Raw genomic sequence first — 20,529 nt, 5'->3', positions numbered from 1 at the left:
CAATATATCTCAAGTTGGGTTTTAGGGCCCTGTCCATTCAGTAAGCAAATCTGCACAACTGTATGAGATTATCCACAAATTTTAACTCTAAGTCCTATGCTCTGTGCACTACTACATCATACTGCCTTAAAACAGAAAGCTAATTAAAAGAAAATGCATGCAAATGTTTCTGTATGAGCTAGGTGGGGCTGAGGAGGTAATAATATGTGAAATAGAAGAAAATATGGATGGTGAAATAATATTTTTAAATACTTTTATATTATTTTCCTAAATTGGAAATAAGACAGCTTCTGTATGAGAAGTGGAAAGAATGATGAACAGGTGAAATTTCAATCTCCTTACCAACAAAAGGAACAATTAATCAACTGTAGATGGGACAGAGGAAGGAAATGAACATATATATCAGCATACTGGTATACATACTGATTCTGTGTCAATGAGAAAAATATTTTCTGTTTAATGCCCAAGGCTTGTATTATTATAAACTCTACACTTCTTTCTTTTCTTTTTTTTTTTTTTTTTTTTTTTTTTTTTTTTTACTATGGATACTCAATCTTATTAGATGTTTTGGTTTTTCTTCTTATGATGGAAAATTATTCCTTTTTCTAAGAAAATTTGAGAAATATGTTCCTTGAGGTATGCAAGGATTTTTCCCCATTATACTCACTGCCTAAATAATCTTAGCTATCCTGAAGTTAGTTGTTTGCTGTGATGAGTGTTTACCTAAACTCATTATATACTCATGAAAGAAATTACTCCATTTTCCCTGTACAGTGAAATCCTTCCATTAATAGCATCTTTTCCAATGTTTTTAAAAGTAAAAGGAGAGCAAAAGGTTAGTAAAGCAATAAATCCAATTTCAAAACAGTATTTATGTGTAAATAAAGTGTAAATAATGGACTTACTCTTATAAAGAGTATTTTATCCCCTAGTCGGTACCGTCCTTCAGATAAATACTCAATAGAAAATCGATGAGAACAACTACAAGGAGGGTCCTCAGCAATATGTTTAACCTAAGATGACGAACAAATAAAATTTAGTGCTTGTCACAAAAAGCATTTTGTTTAAAGTGTAATATTATTTGATAGCTAAGGAAAACCAAACTCAAAGATAAAAATTTCAGGTTCAATAATTTAATCGCTTCTCCTGTGCTTATTAACAAATATTGAGATTAGACATTGCTAATCTAACATAAAAAAGCCACAGTCTTCCCAAAATGACTTTGTGGTAAAATTCTTATTTTCCCCAATTTTACCAAAGAGAGGTTAAACTTGCCTGAGATCATACAGCTAGTAAGTAGCAGAGCCAGGTTTCAGATCCAAACAGCCTAGCTGGTATCTCTCTGTCTGTCTCTCTCTCAGTGCCTCTCTCTCTCTCTTTCTCTCTCTCTCTCTCTCTCTCTCTCCCCCCCCCACCCTCCCTCCCCACCACCCTTCATCTTCGAACATATAACACAGTGAGGTCAATTAACACATTTGTTGAGTTTTAGGAAACATATGAGTTCGTTATTAAGCTTGAATTTATTTTAAGCCCTGAGTTAATAATACATGTCAAATCAGAGACAGGCCAGTCAGTAAAGGCTAAGTAGGAATTTTCACTTGTCCCTTAAAAGTGTACTAAACTAATATTTTGGGGGAAATATCTAGATTTGATCAAATTTATTATTAAAATTGGCAGAAACATATTTACATCTATTCTCTCAAGATTGGATAAAATTCTTAAAATTTTCAATTCAAGATGCATTTCTCTAAAAATGCTCTGTTTCAGTAGCCTGCTAAGGAAGTAGGAGTTGGCATGGGGGAACCCTACTTCAACCAGTTAAGAAGCTTATAGAATTTTCTATTATTATAAATATTTTTTAATGGTAGAACTGCAGTAAATATAAAAACAAATTTAAGAATTCTATATTTAAAACATGGAAATGGAAATATATTAAGTAAAGATATTTGTTGAAATACCTATGACTGAAAAAAGTCACACATCAGCCACTGTGGAAAATATTTGGCTTTTCCTAAAATTACATTTTTGAAAAAGGAAGGTCATGAATGTTTTTCTCAATTATTGCCACACAAAATTTATCAAAACGAATTCATATAACTAAACTTAGGCATGATATTAAAGAGAGTCTCTTTAGATAGGCCTAATTTAGCTGAGCACCAATAGAAATTTATATGATTGTCTTAAATATCTACCTAAATCAAATGAACACCTGTGGATTCACTAGGGCCTGAAAGGAAAGGTCCAGAACTTATTTTCCTATATCATTTATTTAACAAAATAACGTGCGTATAAACAAATAGAACTGATTTTCATAAGTCACCCAATCAAGTTTATCTTGTTCACATGCACACGTGCACATCTGCATCTATGTTGATACAAACATACACACCATGTGCATAAAATGGTGAAAAATAAACTGAACTCTGGGAAAGGGCTTACAGTTATTAGAACCATGCTGATACATTAGTTAACCAAAGTAATCTGAAAGGAGATATATCTTTTAGTCACCACTTTCTGTCTGTAAAAATTTCCTAAGTATATAGAATTGCTGTTGTATATTTTGTAACAGGACCCTAAATCGTGAATCAGAAAATAATTGTTCCTTATTTTCCAAGATATCTGTAGATCACATATTCACAGGTAGACAATGAATGTATTCATATAGCACACATATATTTAGAGAAATGTTTCTTTTTAGTTTTCATAACAAGAATGCAGATATAACAAGTCGTATCTTTTCCTTATTTAAGATACCCGAATCTCACTTATATTGAGCAGTACAAATCAGCACTAACCCACAATCAGAACAAGGCATGAGCCTAAAAGAAATAAGAGCTGTAGGTAAGAAATGATTTCTTCTGATTTTATTACATAATTTACATTACAATACTGAAGGAAATAGCTAAGGAAATAAAAATAATCTACAAAGGTACTATATTACTATTATTTTCATTCTCATTTCTATACAGTTTGTCTATATGTACATATTTTACACAAAATAAACATTTTTCTTGTTGCTACATTATTCTTCACAATGATCACAATGATTATCCTGTTAAGATTATGAATCCTAATTTGCCAAACCGTTGCCCTATTTGAGGGTATTTACTTTTTCACCATTCTAAGTCCTAATGTAATAAACACTTTCATTTATGCCACTTTTTCCCTCTTCAACTACAATAAAAATGAAAAAGTAATATTTTTGTAGCTCTTAATATTTGTCCATTTCTTTTTCAAAAGTTTACATCATTTTCCATTGCCAACAGTAAACACTAAGTACAGTTTGCTAGAATTTAAAAGCACCAGGTTTAATAGTTTTAAAAAATCTTGCTAGTGGGGCAAATGGTATTTCATAGCTGTTTTAATCTGATTTCCTTGATTATCAGCAAGTTTCAACACTGCACTTTCTTCTTGTGTGAACACAGACCTTGCCCATTTACTTACTGCAAGTTTTTCTTATCAAATTGTGTAAGGTCTTTATATAATAGGGAAATGAACACACTGTATTTTCCACTTGATAAAAATATTGTTCCAATGTTTCCTTTTCATTTATCATTCTTTAAGGTTATATGAGATTTAAATTTTATTTTCTACCTACTGCATTCTTTCTGCTTCCCATATTGATATTGACAATCATTATATATATATACACACACACACATGAATAGCATAATGTAGGTAGATATTTTGGCCAGATAAAAGAGTTATTCATTCTGACATGTTCTTAATCTGTCTTGCAAGGTTATCTGATAGTTTTACTATAGACTTTTATTACATTAAACAAAACAATCAAAGCAATACTTTTAAAATGTTTATTAGTAATGATTTATTCATTATTTCTTAATTTTGTATATTTAACCCCTTTATAAAATGCTACAGTCCAAACAACAGTCTAAGCAGAAAATGTTCATGCTCAGTTCACCTTCATTGTTCACATTGTAGTCACTGCAGAAGACCCACAACCCAAGGAAGAGCAATTCTATTAACTTCTACCTAATGAACAGATAAAGTTAAGAAGACTGTCCAGTTGTAACCTATCATCTAACAAGTTTGGATATATTCTGGAGGAGAGAATGCTCAAAAAAAAAAACCCATCAATCTTCCCTCACAACTTTTCCTCCTCCTGTATTCTGCAAGGATCAATATACCATCTACTTAGAGAAACCTTGGAAATCACCCTAGATTCTCTCTCACACACAAACACTCACTAATTCCTGTCAATTCTCCTAACAATTCTTCCTAAATATGTCTTATATTTGTTCCTGTTGCTCCATCCCCATTACTGCTGCTCAAGTTCAAGCTCTCATCTTATGCCTGGATTATTACCACAAAACCAATATAACCTCTACAAGACCATGAGAATATTCCTTATAATTTGCAAATCAGATTACAATACTACCAGACTGAAAAAAGAATCAATGAATTCTTGTGGCCTATAGTTCTCTTCATGATGAGTTCCAATCTGTTTGCCCCACCACTCCTCAACTACACATTTATTCCTCATCATACACAAGCAATAACAAATCACCTTTAAAATATAATGCCCTGAATTCATCAGAGAATGGAGAATAGTACCGGTTTATATTCTGAATAAGAAACACTTGCTTTTAAAAATAGCATCACCTGTAGCACACTAGAAGTGCTTAAAACTATGAGACTTCAAGGTATCATGGTCAAAAGAAAGTGTGGCAACTACTTACAGCTTCATGTAGCTCTTCATGCCGACAGCATGATTTTGGAATGCTGATGGAATCTTCAGGCCCAGAAGTATTAAGCAAAGTCTCTTCTAACTCAATTTCTTTCTCAAGTTTTACTAACACTGGTGGCTCAACCCCGTATCTGAAAACCAACCAGGAGATCTGATCATTCAAGCAAAGTTGACCCAGTACTTGCCTGCATATCAAGATAGATTTTCTTTCTGAAGTAAAGTCTATATGATCCTCTTCTACCAATTGTTTCACTGGGATATTTGAAAATGCTTTTTAATGTCTCACAGATTGTAAAATATCTATATTACAGTCCTCACATCATAGCACATATTTGGGTTGCAGGATGCTCCCAATATTCTACCTGGGATCCTGAAAGGTGGCTTTCGAATCAGCTGCTGAGTAAAGATAGAACTGAAGTAGGTATGGGGGACACCACTCCTTGCCTTCTGCCAGATCCTCTCTGTGTTCAGAGGACTTGCTTTGACTTGAACTGCCTTAGACTGCATGCTCTTACCCTATCCTTAATCTAAAAAATTTAAGTAACCACTCCCATAGTTTAACAGTAAAAGAAGACAAGCTATATTGAGAACTCGGATGTTTACATATGCTCATGCAAACAGAATGAAGTTGATAAAGAAACAAAAAGATAAAACAGGAAAATAGTTCATTTAAAGCATTTTTTTATTTATAGAAAATAGTGTTCTAAACTAAAATTCAGTAGATTTAAAATGTTTATAACATTGAAATTCTGAAATATTGTGGAATACATACCTTGACACAATTCGACCAATTTCAAGAAGACAAAGATACACCTGTCTTGGATCTTTGTGCAAAACTGTGGAAAATAAAACCACTTATTTTATACAGCAAAATTAAGTATGGAAACATATTTCTGGCATGGAAGAAGAGAGTTAAATAAAAAAGAATAATGAAGACAGCAGGTTTACTTGTTTAGAAAAAATGAAGAAAAGACACTTTTATTTTTTCTACTTATTATCTTCAACAAATTAGTTTAAAAAAAACAGCTAATAAGAACAGAATGAAAAATTACCATGGACCTTTATTTGCACAGCATTTGAAGTCTAAAAAATTGAGGGCTTAGTAACATTGCTTATGTTTCAGATCTTTCAACAAGAGATACCATTAAAAGATATATAGTACCGCAATTTTATTTTAAGCTATCTTTAGCATTGAATTATGTGTTAATACCTTTCTCAAACTCTTACAAAGAGGAGAAAGTACTTTCTAACCCATTCTAGGATGACAGCATTACCCTGATATCAAAGGTAGCCAAATGAAGATATCATAAGAAAACTAAAACCCAATATGTCTTATGAATATAGATACAAAAATCCTCAATGAAATACTGGCAAACCAAATCTGGCAGCATATAGAAGGATTATATACCATGCAAGTGGCATTTATGCCAGAAATAGTTCAATATAAGAAAATCAACCCAATGCAATATACTATTAGCAGAATAAAGGAAAAAAACCCAATTATCTCAAGAGACAAAGAAGTATTTCACAAAATCCAACCATTTCATGATTAAAAAAAAAAAAAGACTGAACAAACTAGGAAGAAAAAAGAAAGTTTCTCAATCTGATAAAAGGGCATCTAGGAAAAACCCACAACCATTATCATTCTTAAAGGTAAAAGACTGCAAGTCTCCCCCTCAAGACCAGGAAAAGACAAGGATGTCCACTCTTATTATTTCTATTCAGCATTGTATTGGAGGATGTAGCCATGGCATTTATGCAAGAAAAATAAATAAATCATATATAGACTAGAAAGGAAGAAGGAAAACTACCTCTATTAACAGATAACATAGGCCAGACATGGTGGCTCACACCTATAATCCTAGCACTTTGGGAGACTGAGGCGGGAAGATCGCTTGAGGCTAGGAGTTTGAGACCAGCCTGGGCAACAAAGTGAGACCCTGTTTCTACAGTTTTTTTGTTTGTTTGTTTTTTTAATTAGCTAGGCATGGTGGTGCACACTTGTAATCCCAGATACTCAAGAGGCTGAGGCAGGAGGATGAACTGAATCCATGAGTTCAAGACTACAGTGAGCTATTATCGTGCCATTATACTCCAGTCCTGGGTGACAGAGTGAGACCCTGTCTCAAAAAACAAAGCAACAAAAACAAAAACAAAAAAACAAAAAACAGGTAACATAATCCTATGTGTAGAAGAAAACCCTGAAGAATCTACAAAATAACTGTTAGAGCTAATAAGCAAGTTCAAAGTTGTGGGAGATAACATCAATACACAAAAATTAGTTGCATACACTAGAAATGAACAGTCTGAAAATGAAACGAAAATAATTACACTTACAATGGCTTCAAAAAGAAAAAGTACTTAGAAGTAAACCTAATCACAGAATTGTAATACTTGTACACTGAAAACTATAAAACACTGTTGAATGAAATTTTAAAAGATTATAAATAAAGACATCTCATGTTCATGGATTGGAAGACAACTTGTTAAGATAGCAACATTCCCCCAACTGACCTACAGATTCAGTGTAATCCTTATCAAAATTACAACACCCCTTTTTTTTTCCAGAAATGGAAAAGCTGATGATCAAATTAGTATGGGATTCCAAAGGGCACAGAAAAGCCTAACCAATCTAGAAAAAGAACAAATTTGGAGACCCACACCTCCCAATTTCAAAACTTACTATAAGCTACAGTAATCAAGACAGTGTATCACTGGCATAGGGATAGATGTACAGACCAATGGAATGGAAATGAGTGTCCAGAAATAAACCCATACATTTATGTACAATTAATTTCAACAAGATGCTAAGACAATTCAATAAGGAGAGAACAGGCTTTTCAACAAATGGTGTTGGCACAACTGGACATCCACATGCAAAAGAATGAATTTGAACCCCTACCTCCCACCATATACAAAAATTAACTTAAAATAGATCAATGACCTAAAAGTAAGAGGCACAAACTGTAACATTTATAGAAAAAAATGTTAAAAATATATATGACTTTAATTAGGCAATGGATTTTTAAATGACCAAAAGTATGGACAAGCAAAAGAAAAATAGATAAATTAAATGTCACCAAAATTTAAAACTTTCGTATATCAAAGGACACTATCAAGAAAGTAAAAAAATAACCCAAAGGCTAGGAGAAAATATTTGCAAATCTTATCTAATATGGCCTAGTATCTAGAATATATAAAGAATTCTTGCAAGTTGACAAAAAGGGTAAATGACCCAATTTTTAAAATAGGCAAAGGATTTGAATAGATAGTCTCCAAAGAAGTTATACAAGTGGTTAACAAGTATATAAAAAGATGTTCAATATCCTTAGGGAAACGCGAATCAAAACCACAACAAAATACTACTTCACACCCACTAGGATGGTTATAATAAAAACAAAAACAGGCAAATAAGTATTGACAAAGATGTGGAGAAATTGGAACATTGGGCACTGCTGGCAGAAATGTAAAATGGTGCAGCCACTTTGAAAACAGCTCCTCAAAAAGATAAACAGAATTATTACCATATGACCTAGAAATTCCACTCTTAGGTATATATCTGAGAGAATTAAGAAATATGTTTACTTCAAAATTTGTACACAAATGTTCAGAGCAACATTATTCATAATAGCCAGAGTGGAAACAATCCAAATGCCCACTAGCTGATGAATGGCTTAAAAAAATATGGCATATCTATACGATGGAATATTAGTCTACCATAAAAAGGAATTAAGTACTGTTACATGCTACAACATAAATGAACCACTGTGCTAACTAAAAGAAACAGACACAAAATGCCACATATTGTATGATTCCATTTATATGAAACATCCAGAATATGCAAATCCATAGAGACAGAGAACAGAGTTTGCCTTGGCATGGGGTAGGAGAATAACTGGGACTAATTGCTAATAGGTACAGATTTTCCAGAAATGTTCTGAAATTAGATAGTAGTAATGATTGTACAACATAGTGAATATACTAAAAACCACTGAAATGTACATTTTAAAATTGTGAATTTTAGATTATGTACAGCATATCTCAATTTTTATGCTACTACAAAAGAAACCTAATACACTTAAAAATGGTTACATGGTTAAGATAGTAATTTTTTTTTTTTTATGAGTCTCACTCTTTCACCCAGTCTGGAGTGTAGCGACGTGATCCTGGCTCACTGCAACCTCTGCCTCCCAGGTTCAAGTAATTCTCCTGCCTCAGCCTCCTGAGTACCTGGGACTACAGGCGTGCACCACCATGCCCAGCTAATTTTTGTATTTTTGTAGAGACGGGGTTTCGCCATGTTGCCCAAGCTGGTCTCAAACTCCTGACCTCAGGTGATCCACCTGCCTCAGCCTCCCAAAGTGCTGGGATTACAGGTGTGAGCCAATGCGCCCAGCCTAAGATAGTAAATTTTACGTGCATTTTAATACAATTTTTAAAATAAAAATAAATATAAAAGGAAATGCAATATAAAGGTAAACAGAGATCCTTAAAACAATTTTTAAAAAGGCCTGATCATAGAACACATGCTAAATGCAATGATATAGTAGTTGTGGATCATCTCCTTTTCTGTTGCAGTCCTTAAAGTTAGAAACTCTAGGAAACTTCTGAATTCTAACCTAATCATGTGCAATATGTGCATGAATTGCATGTGCCCTGATTCCCTCAATAGAAATAGTAATTGTTGGCCTGGCGTGGTGGCTCATGCCTGTAATCCCAGCACTTTGGGAGGCTTAGGCTGGCAGATCATGAGGTCAGGAGATTGAGACCACCCTGGCTAACATGGTGTAACCCAGCCTCTACTAAAAATACAAAAAATTAGCCAGGCGTGGTGGCAGGTGCCTGTAGTCCCAGCTACTCTGGAGGCTGAGGCAGGAGAATGGCGGGAACCCAGGAGGTGGAGCTTGCAGTGAGCTGAGATCGCGCCACTGTACTCCAGCCTGGGCGACATAGCGAGACTCCATCTCAAAAAAAAAAAAAAGAAAGAAATGGTAATTGTTCTTTGATTTATGAATAGCATCTATTATACACCCCAAGCACAAAGTATACTCTTTCAAAGCTATAAAAAGCCTACATTTGAGTTTAAAATTCATACCAACAGAGGAATTTATCCTAAAATTTTTACTAGATTTGTTTTTCTAAATATCTTCTAAGTTCCTTAAAATAGTATATTTGTTTCATAAAATAGCTTTGAGTTGCTAGCAAAGTGTAAAAAATTAAGAGGCTCATCTTTGAGACCTCTGGAGAGTAAAAACATTAGCTTATCGGTTCAATGCCTCAAAATGAATTACTGGTATTGGCAGTGCTTTACTTAGTCCTATACTGACCTTCAGGAGAGTGAGAAGATGCCTTCTACTGAAAATGAGAAATATACAACAATCTTATGTCCTTTCAGAAATAATAAACTAGAAACTAGAGAATTCAAAGCATTTCCACTTTGTTTTGATCTTTAGAAAGTAGATGTGCCATTACATCAACTACACTGTCAATAATGATCAGCCCATCTGGATCTAAAGCAAGGTGCAAACAGAGGGATAAAATAGCATCCCATGCTTGCTCTACACTGGATAGGGGTGCCCAGATGCAGAGCAAACAGGAGGCCGCTTACCCTGTGTGAGGGCAATAAGGGTGTGTACTGTCAGTAGAGAATTTTAAAATAATACAACCAACAAAAAGTCAGTTTGCTTTTTACTATCACCACAAACCAGCAATCCTAAACTATGTCAGTGATAAAACTTCTACCAGGGCAGACAACTCCCACAGCCCTGCCCTTGGTACACTGCTGCACTTATCACATTATGAATTCAATGTGTGGGGGTGGGGTGGTGGGTGTGTGTGTGTATGTACACATATATAAATGCTTTCAAATATAGTATAAAACTTAAATAGCTACCGCTTTAGTCACTGCACAGATGCTTCTGTTGACTTCAAGGAAATGAGAAAATACGTCAATAATTCTTCAACAGAGCATGACTCCTCAAAATGAATTGTCAAAAATATTAATCCATTAGATAATCAAGTTGGCAGCTGTTGTTTGTAAGGTAAAGCTAAACACCGTGATAATACATTATTAGGCCTCCTGTCATTTCCGTAATTATCCGGTTAAAGGGAAGTTACTACTTTTTAGGCTTGGTGGAGTAATTCTTAATGAAAATATCAATTACTAAAGCATTAGTCCAGAACCTTCCTGTAGCCAACTCATTTAGGAATTCAGAATTTTAGGACATTCTAGACACATAAAATCTTTAAGTGAAAAGGTTAATATATTTGATTTAGTATCTGATTCTCCAATAATTCTACATATATTCAAAGTATACATTTTTCTAGGAAAATGAGATGAGGCATTTGAGTCCTTATTTGGAAAGAAAAATTAGAGGTGAAGGATATTAAAACATCCTAGTAAGCATTAAAAACAAGAATGACAAGAACATCACTTACCTAAACCTTCAGATTCAAAGAGGTAAGTTTCATCAACCCCAATGTCCCTACACCAGTGAAGGAAGTTTGCGGTATTGTCCCGAGCAAAGAATGAACCTGATGCAGCATCTTTCTTACAGGGCACTTTTCTCATTGGAAAATTCTGGAAAAGACAAAAGAATAATTTCAAAAATGTATCAAGGATACTTTCATTAAACATTCATTTTGATATTGCTAAATAAATGTTCAATCCATCACCTGTAACCAAAAAGTACACAATTTTAGAGAAAAAAGATAGTTTTGAAAACTATTTTATTTTACTTTAAAGCAGAGGTCCCCAACCCCTGGGCCACAGACTGGTACCGGTCTGTGGCCTGTTAGCAATCAGGCCACACAGCAGGAGGTGAGTAGTGGGTAAGCAAGCATTACCACCTGAGCTCTGCCTGTCAGATCAGCGATGGCATCAGATTCTCACAGGAGCTTGAACCCTATTGTGAACTGTGCATGCAAGAGATCTAGGTTGCGTGCTCCTTATGAGAATCTAATGGCTGATGATCTGAGGTGGAGTAGTTACATCCCAAAACCACCCCCGCCCAAATCTGTGGAAAAACTGTCTTCCATGAAACTGGTACCTGGTGCCAAAAAGACTGGGGACTGCTGCTTTAAAGTATATTCCAGAAAATGATTCCTAGAAAAATGATTTGGTCAAAATTAGCAGTAAGATCAAACATCTCTCACCTCTTTCTTTTTAAAATGAAACAAGAATCTTAATTAAAATAAAAACTGACAGCCTAATAATTGCAAAGCACATCTCAATGTTATGTCTCTCTACACATAGTTCAATATAAACCTCAAATTCTTGCTATGTTAAAAGTTAAGAGATGAGTATGATGACTCACTTGTAATCCCAGTACTTTCGGAGGCTGAAGCAGGATTGCTTGAGGCTAGGAGTTCAAGACCAGCCTGGGAAACAGTGTGACCTCATCTCTACAAAATATTTCTTTTAATATTAGCCAGACGTGGTTGCATGTAGCTAAAGTCCCAGCTGCTCAGGAGGCTGAGGTGAGAGGATCACTTGAGCCCAGTAGTTCCAGGATACAGTAAGCTATGATCGTGCCACTGTACTCCAACCTGGGCAACAGAGCAAGACTCTTTCTCAAAAAAAAAAAAAAAAAGAATCACAGACACCCATTTTTGCTTACTTCCTTCCACGCAGATTAATAAAGATGGTTCTGAGTTTCTTGAGGAGACTATCAAATAAGGAAGTAGTTGTTCCTTCTTAATTAAAGTTCTTTGAAAACTGATGATCTAAGTTTCACAGAATCTTAATTTTTTTTACTATCTGCTCCAAGAGTATTTAGATAATTCTGCTGAGACTGAGAGATTTTTTTGTTTTGGTTTGGTTTAAATTTTTACTTGAATAAGCAATTCATGAATATGATCTTTGTTAATGCAGTAGGTACAGTAGGATATTAAGTCTTTCTCTCACCTACCCCCAGTTCCTCTCTCTCCCTAGAGTTAACCACTATTACCAGTTCCTTGTATATCCTTCCTGTTACTATTTATTTCCAAAACTAAAATAACGTTAGGAGTTTTTTTTTCCTCATTGAATACAGAATAGACAATCATTGCAAAAAAAAAAAATCAAACCAATAGCAAAATACAAACTATCAACTGAAATCCTCTCACCCACATTTTGGCAAGACATCTCTATGCACAACTACACACATATTTGTATCTACAAAATGTCACATAAACTATTCTTCAATTTGATTTGTGTGTGTATGTGTGCATATACATGAAATGATATGTTGTAGACATCATCTGGGGTTCAAAATAACATATTTAAAAAATTGTTTCCAATGAATGTATAATATTCCAACGTGTCTGGTTACCATAATTAATTTTTAACAATTTCTCTGTTGATAAACATTTAGGTTGTTCCTAATTTTTGTACTATCACTTTCATAAACTTCTGATTATTTTCTCAGAATAAACTGCTACAAGTAGAACTATGTATCAAAAGATGTGCTTTAGGGGGCAGAGCGAGATAGCCGCATACAAACCTACGCCATTCGTCTTACCCATAGGAACATCAAATTTTAACAACTAGCTACACACAAAAAGCACCATTACAAGAATAAAAAATCAAATGAGCAATCTGGTTTTAATTTCGTATCACTGAGAGAGACATTGAAGAGGGCAGGAAAGACAGTCTTAAATTGCCCACCCCTTCCTCCATCTTCCAGCAGCAACCACATGGCACAGAACATCTGTGTATTTGGGAGGGGGAGAGCACAGTGATTTTGAGGCTTTACATTGAACTCACTGCTGTTCTGGTTCAGCAGAAGGCAGAACCAGGCTTTAGTAGCTGATGTCTGCCCATAGAGAAAGCATTTGGACCAACCCCAGCTAGAGGGGACTCACCCATTAAAGTAATCAGAGCTTGAGTTAAGACAAGCCTTGCTACCACAAACTGGAGTGCTCTGAGGACCTAAGCGAACTTGAGGGGCAGTCTAGGCCACAAGAATTCCAAGTCCTAGGCAAGCCCAGTGCTGAGCTGGACTCAGACAGAGCCAGTGGACCAGAGGGGAGGGGCATATGACCTACTGAGACATCAACCAGGGTGGCTAAGCGTGTGCTTGTACCACCCCTCCCCCATCCCCTGGCAGCAGCCATAAGGTGCAAAGAAAGCTGTGCACTTGGGAGACAGGGAGCGCAGCAACTGGAGGACTTTACACTGAACTCAGTGCTGCCTTGTCACAGTAGTGACCTGGCAGGATTCATCACCTGCTGCGTAAAGAACCCCTGGGCCCCGAATAACCAGCAGTGATACCCAGGTAATATGCCATGGGTGTTGGGCTCTGAGACATGCTAGCTTCAGGTGGGACTGAATATATTCCCAGTATTGGTAGCTACAATGAAAGACTCCTCCTGTTTGAGAAAGGCAGGGGGAAAAGTAAAGCAGACTCTAGTCTTGTGCCTTAGGGGCCAACTCAGCCACAGTAGAGTAGAGCACCAAGCAAGCTCTGAGGGGTCCCCAGCTTCAGGCCTAGGCTCTTGGTCAGCATTTCTGGAACTGGCCTGGGCCAGAGGGGAGGCCACTGCCCTGAAGGGTGAATCCCAGGCCTGGCAGCATTCACCACAAGCTGACTAAAGAGCCCTTGGGTTCTGTTAGCAGTGGCCTGGCAGAAACCCACATGGGCCAGTGGTGGTAGTAGCCACAGGGAGAGGCTTCTCTGCCCAGAAAAAGAGGAAGAAAGAGTGGGAAGGATTTTGGCTTGTGGTCTGAGTGCTGGCTTCACTGCAGTAAAACAGAACATCAGGTAAATTTCTAAGGTTTAAGACTTCAGGCCGGGTGTAGCAGCTCAATCCTGTAATCCCAGAACTTTGGGAGGCCGAGGCGGGCGGATCACGAGGTCAGGAGATCAAGACCATGGTGAAACCCCGTCTCTACTAAAAATACAAAAAAAATCAGCTGGGCACGGTGCCAGGCGCCTGTAGTCCCAGCTACTAGGGAGGCTGAGGCAGAAGAATGGCGTGAACCCGGGAGGCAGAGCTTGCAGTGAGCTGAGATTGTGCCACTGCACTCCAGCCTGGGCGACAGAGCGAGACTCCGTCTCAAAAAAAAAAGACTTCAATCTCACTCCTAGACAGCATCTCTGGACCCAACAGGGCCTGGGGGAACATGACTCTGAAAGGAGGGACACAAACCTGGCTAGATGTGCCACCTGCTGATAATAGAGCCCTAGAGCCTTGAGTGAACTTAGGTGGTAGGCAAGTGGTGGTTACAGCAGGTCTTGGGCGAGACCCAGTGCTGTGCTGCCTTCAGGTGTGAAACAGTGCAGTCTCAGTGGTGGTGGCCACAGGGGTACTTGTGTCCCCCCATCCCCAGATCCAGGAGGCCCAGCACAAAGGGAGATACTCCATTTGTTTCGGATAAAGTAAAGAAAAAAACCCACACGCACACACAAGAATCTCTACCTGGTAATGCAGAGAATTCTTCCAGACCTTATCCAAGATCACTAAGGTGGTACCTCTATAAGTCTGCGAGAACCATGGCATTATTGGGTTTGGGGCCCAAGTCCCTTTGAATATCTGAAAAGCCTTCCCAAGAACAATGGACACAACAAGTCCAGACTGCAAAGACTACAATAAATGCCTAACTCTTCAATGCCTAGACACTGGAACATTTACAAGCATCAAGACCATCCAGGAAAACACGACCTCACCAATAAGGTACCAGGGACCAATCCTGAAGAAACAGAGATATGTGACCTTTCAGACAGAGAATTTAAAATAGCTGTGTTTTGGAAACTCAAATAAATTCAAGATAACACAGAGAAAGAATACTATCAGACAAATTTAACAAAGAGACTGAAATTATTTAAAAGAATCAAGCAGAAATTCTAGAGTTGAGAAATGCAATTGACATACTGAAGAATGCATCAGGGTCTCTTAATAGCAGAACTGATCAAGCAGAAGAAAGAATTACTGAGCTTCAAGGAAGGACTACTTGAAAATACAGAGTAGAGAAAAGAAAAGATAAAAAACAACGAAGCACACCTAAAGGATCTAGAAAATAGCCTCAAAAGGGTAAACCTAAGAGTTATTGGCCTTAAAGGAGGCAGAGAGAGAGAGAGATGGGGATAGAAAGTTTATTCAAAGGGGTATTATCACAGAACTTCCCAAACCTAGAGAAAGATACCAATATTCAAGTACAAGAAGGTTATAAAACACTAGCAGATTTAACCCAAAGAACACTACCTCAAGACATTTAATAAACTCCCAAAGGTCAAGGATAAAGAAAGGATCCTAAAAGCAGCAAGAGAAAAGAAACAAATAATATACAATGGAGCTCCAGTATGTCTGGCAGCAAATTTTTCAGTGGAAACCTTACAGGCCAGGAGAGAGTGACATGGCATTTAAAGTGCTGAAGGAAAAAAACTTTTGCCCTAGAATAGCATACCCAGTGAAAATATCCTTTAAGCATGAAGGAGAAATAAAGATTTTCCCAGACAACAAAAACTGAGGGATTTCATCCACACCAGACCATCCTACAAGAAATGCTAAAGTGAGTTCTTCAGTCTGAAAGAAAAGGATGTTAATGAGCAATAAGAATATTCTGGTTTCCCTTCAGATCGTATAAATCTTTTGACTTTTAATGAGCAATAAGAAATCATCTGAAGGTACAAAATTCACTGGTAATAGTACACAGGAAAACACAAAATACTATAACACTGTAATTATGGTATGTAAAATATTATATTAAAGTAGAAAGACTAAGCAATGAACCAATCAAAATTAATAACTACAACTTTTCAAGACATAGACAGTATAATAAGACATAAAGAAAAACAACCAAAATTAAAAAGCAAGGGGATAAAGTTAGAGTTTTTATTAGTTTTCTTTTTGCTATTAATAGTTCATTTGCTTACGTAATCAGTTTAAAATAATGGGTTATATTATTTGCAAGCCTCATGGTAACCTCAAATCAAAAAACATACAACAGATACACAAAAAATAAAAAGTAAGAAATTAAAGCATACCACCAGAGAAAATCACCTTCACTAAAAGAAAGACAGGAAGGAAAGAAAGAAGGAGCCAACCAAAAAACAACCAGAAAACAACAAAATGGCAGGAATAAGTCCTTATTTATCAATTATAACACTGAATGTAAATAGAGTAAATTCTCCAATCAAAAAACACAGAGTAGCTGAATGGATGAAAAAGCAAGACCCAATTATCTGTTGCCTCCAAGAAACACTCTTCACCTATGAAGACACACATAGACTGAAAATATAGGAATGGAAAAAGATATTCCATGCCAATGGGAAACTGAAAAAGAACAGTAGTAGCTATATTTATATCAGACAAAATGAATTCTAAGACAAAACCCATAAGAAGAGACAAAGAAGGTCATTGTATAATGATAAAGAGGTCAATTCAGCAAAAGGATATAAAAATTGTAAATATATATGCACCCAATGCTAGAGCGCTCAGATAAATAAAGCAAATATTAATACAGCTAAAGAGAGAGAGAGACTCCAATACAGTAACAGCTGGAGACTTCAACACCCCACTTTCAGCATTGGTCAGATCTTCCAGACAGAAAATCAAAAAAGACACATCAGACTTAATCTTCACTATAGAACAAATGGACCAAATAAATATTTACAGAACATCTCATTCAGCAGCTGCTTTATTCTCCTCAGCAGATGGATCATTCTCAAGCATAGATCATATGTTAGGTCACAAAACAAGTCCTAAAACATTAAAAAAAAAAACCTGAAATAACATAAAGCATCTCCTCTGACCATAATGGAATAAAACTAGAAATCCATAACAAGAGTAATTTCAGAAACAATATAAACACATGGAAATTAAATAATATGCTTCTGAATGACCGACCAGTGGGTCAATGAGGAAATTAAGAAGAAAATTGAAAAATTTCTTGAAAAAAATAATAATGAAAGCACAAATACCAAAACCTATGGGATACAGTGAAAGCAGTCTTAAGAGGGAAATTTATAGCTGTAAGTGTCCACATCAAAAAAGAAGAAAAACATAAAATAAATAACCTAACAATGCATCTTAAAGAACTAAAAAAGCAAGTGCAAATCAACTCGAAATTAGTACAAGAAAAGAAATAATGAAAATCAGAAGAAATAAATAAAATTGAAATGACAAAAACAGTACCAAAAGATAAAACTTGAAGTTGGTTTTTTGAAAGGATAAATAAAATTGACAGACCTTAAGTCAGACTAAGAAAAAAAGAGAGAAGACCCAAATAAAATCAGAGATGAAAAAGGAGACATTACAACTGATACCACAGAAATTTAAAGGATCATACTGAGCAACTGTATGACAACAAAACCTGAACAGACCAATAACAAGTAACAAGATCAAAGCCGTAATAAAAAGCCTCCCAGTAAAGAAAAGCCTGGGACCCTAGGGCTTCACTGCTGAATTCTACCAAACATTTAAAGAACTAATAGCAATCCTACTCAAACTATTCTGAAAAACAGAAGAGGAGGGATTACTTCCAAACTCATTCTATGAGGCCAGTATTATACCAAAACCAGACAAAGACATATCAAAAAATGAAGACAACAGACCAATATCTCTCATGAATGTTGATGCAAAAATCCTCAACAAAATACTAGCAAACTGAATTCAACAATACATTTAAAAGGTTATTCATCATGACCAACTGGGATTTATCCCAGGGATGCAAAGATGTTTCAACATATGCAAATCAATCAGTGTGATACATCTTATCAACAGAATGAAGTATAAAAACCGTATATATCATTTCAACTAATGTTGAAAAAGCATTTGATAAAATTTAAATCCCTTTGTGATAAAAACCCTAAAGAAACTGGGTATAGAAGGAATACTCCTCAGCATAATAAAAGCCATATGATGATAGACCTACAGCTAGTATCATACCAAATGGGGAAAAACTGAAAGCCTTTCCTCTAAGGTCTGGACCACAACAAGGATGCCCACTTTCATCACTGTTATTCAACACAGTTCTGGAAGTCCTAGCTAGAGTAATTAGACAAGAGAAAGAAAGATTTGGCATCCAAACTGGAAAGGAGGATGTTAAATATTCTTGTTTGCAGATGATACGATCTTATAGTTAGAAAAACCTAAAGACCCCACACTCAAAAAAAAAAAAAAAACAACTACAGCTGATAAACAAATTCAGTAAAGTTTCAGGACACAAAATCAACATACAAAAATCTGTAGCATTTTTGTGCCAACAATCTGAGAAGGAAATAAAAAGTAATCCCATTTACAGCAGTCACAAATAAAATTAAATACCTAGGAATTAACTTAAGCTAAGAAGTGAAATATCTCTACAATAAACAAAACACTAATGAAAAATTGAAGAGGACACCAAAAAATGGAAAAATATTCCATGTGCATGGATTGGAAGAATCAATATTGTTAAAACGGCCATACTACTCAAAGCAATCTACAGATTCAATGCAATACTTATCAAAATACCAATGATGTTTTTCATAGAAATGGAAAAAAGATCCTAAAATTTATACAGAATCACAAAAGACCGAGAATAGTCAAAAGCTATCCTGAGCAAAAAGAACAAAATTGGAGGAATTACCTGACTTCAACCAAAACAGTATGGTACTGGCATAAAAAGAGACACAGACCAATGGAACAGAAAAGAAAACCCAGAAATAAATCCAGATAACTACAGTGAACTCACTTATAACAAACATGCTAAGAACATAGATTGAAGAAAGGACAGGCTCTTCAATAAAATCTGCTGGGAAAACTGGGTATTCACATGCAGAAGAATGAAACTTGACCCCTATCTCTCACCATATATAAAAATGAAATAAAAATGGATTAAAGACTTAAATCTAAGACCTCATACTATGCAACTGCTACAAGAAAACATTGGGAAAACTCTCCAGGATATTGGTCTGGGCAAAAGCTTCGTGAGTAATACCCCATAAGCAGAAGCAACCAAATCAAAAATAAATAGGATCATATCAAGTTAAAAAGCTTCTGCACAGTAAAGGAAACAACACCTTGAAGAGCAACCCAAAGAATGGGAGAAAATATTTGCAAACAATCCATCTGACAAAGGATTAATAAGTAGAATATATAAGGAGCTCAAACAACTCTGTAGGATAAAATCTAATAATCCAATTTAAAAATGGGCAAAAGATTTGAATAGACATTTCTCAAAAAGACACACAAATGGCAAACAGGTATATGAAAAGGTGCTCAACATCACTGATCATCAGAGAAATGCAAATCAAAACTACAATGAGATATCTCATCCCAATTAAAATGGCTTTTATCCAAAAGACAAGCAATAACAAATGCTGGCAAAGATGTGGAGAAAAGGGAACCCTCATACACTGCTGGTGGTAATATAAATTATTACAGCCACTGTGGAGAACAGTTTGGAGGTTCCTCAAAAAACTAAAAATAGAGCTACCGTATGACCCAACAACCCACTGGGTATATACCCAACAGAAAGGAAATCAGTATATTAAAGAGACTATCTGCACTCCCATGTTTCCTGAAGCACTGTTCTCAATAACCAAGATTTGGAATCAACCTAAAAGTCCATCAGTAGATGACTAGGTAAAGAAAATGTGACACACATATACAATGGAGTACCACTGAGCTACTAAAAAGACTGAGATCCTGTCATTTGCAACAACATGGATGGAACTGGAGGTCATTATGTTAAGTGAAATACATCAGGCACAGAAAGACAATCACCACATGTTCTCAATTATTTGTGGGTGCTAAAAATCAAAACAATTGAACTCACGGAGATAGTAGAAGGACGGTTAGCAGAGGCTGGGAAGGGTTGTGGCAGGTGGGGGGAAGTGGAGATGGTTAAGGGTGCAAAA

General features: G+C 35.9%; 1 protein-coding gene across 15 annotated transcripts in view; it reads right to left on the bottom strand.

The window, feature by feature from the left end:
- Positions 1 to 20,529, bottom strand: part of GAS2L3 (growth arrest specific 2 like 3) — a 54,605-nt gene that overhangs the window by 5,001 nt on the left and 29,075 nt on the right. For 14 of the 15 annotated variants that reach the window (XM_047428730.1, XM_047428734.1, XM_047428733.1 and 11 more), the window contains 4 exons: positions 11,147 to 11,288; positions 5,481 to 5,544; positions 4,701 to 4,839; positions 906 to 1,013 (listed from right to left, as the gene is read on the bottom strand). In XM_047428730.1, the coding sequence (XP_047284686.1) occupies positions 906 to 1,013; positions 4,701 to 4,839; positions 5,481 to 5,544; positions 11,147 to 11,288 (453 nt within the window). Of the gene's footprint in view, positions 1 to 905; positions 1,014 to 4,700; positions 4,840 to 5,480; positions 5,545 to 11,146; positions 11,289 to 12,024; positions 12,281 to 20,529 lie in introns of all 15 variants that reach the window. The other variant, NM_001303131.2, reaches the window with a different exon arrangement.

Source organism: Homo sapiens, chromosome 12 (assembly GCF_000001405.40).
Source record: "Homo sapiens chromosome 12, GRCh38.p14 Primary Assembly".
Lineage (NCBI taxonomy): Eukaryota > Metazoa > Chordata > Mammalia > Primates > Hominidae > Homo > Homo sapiens.
The sequence above is the reverse complement of the archived record's forward strand: the minus strand, read 5'-3'. Positions and strand labels throughout refer to the sequence as shown.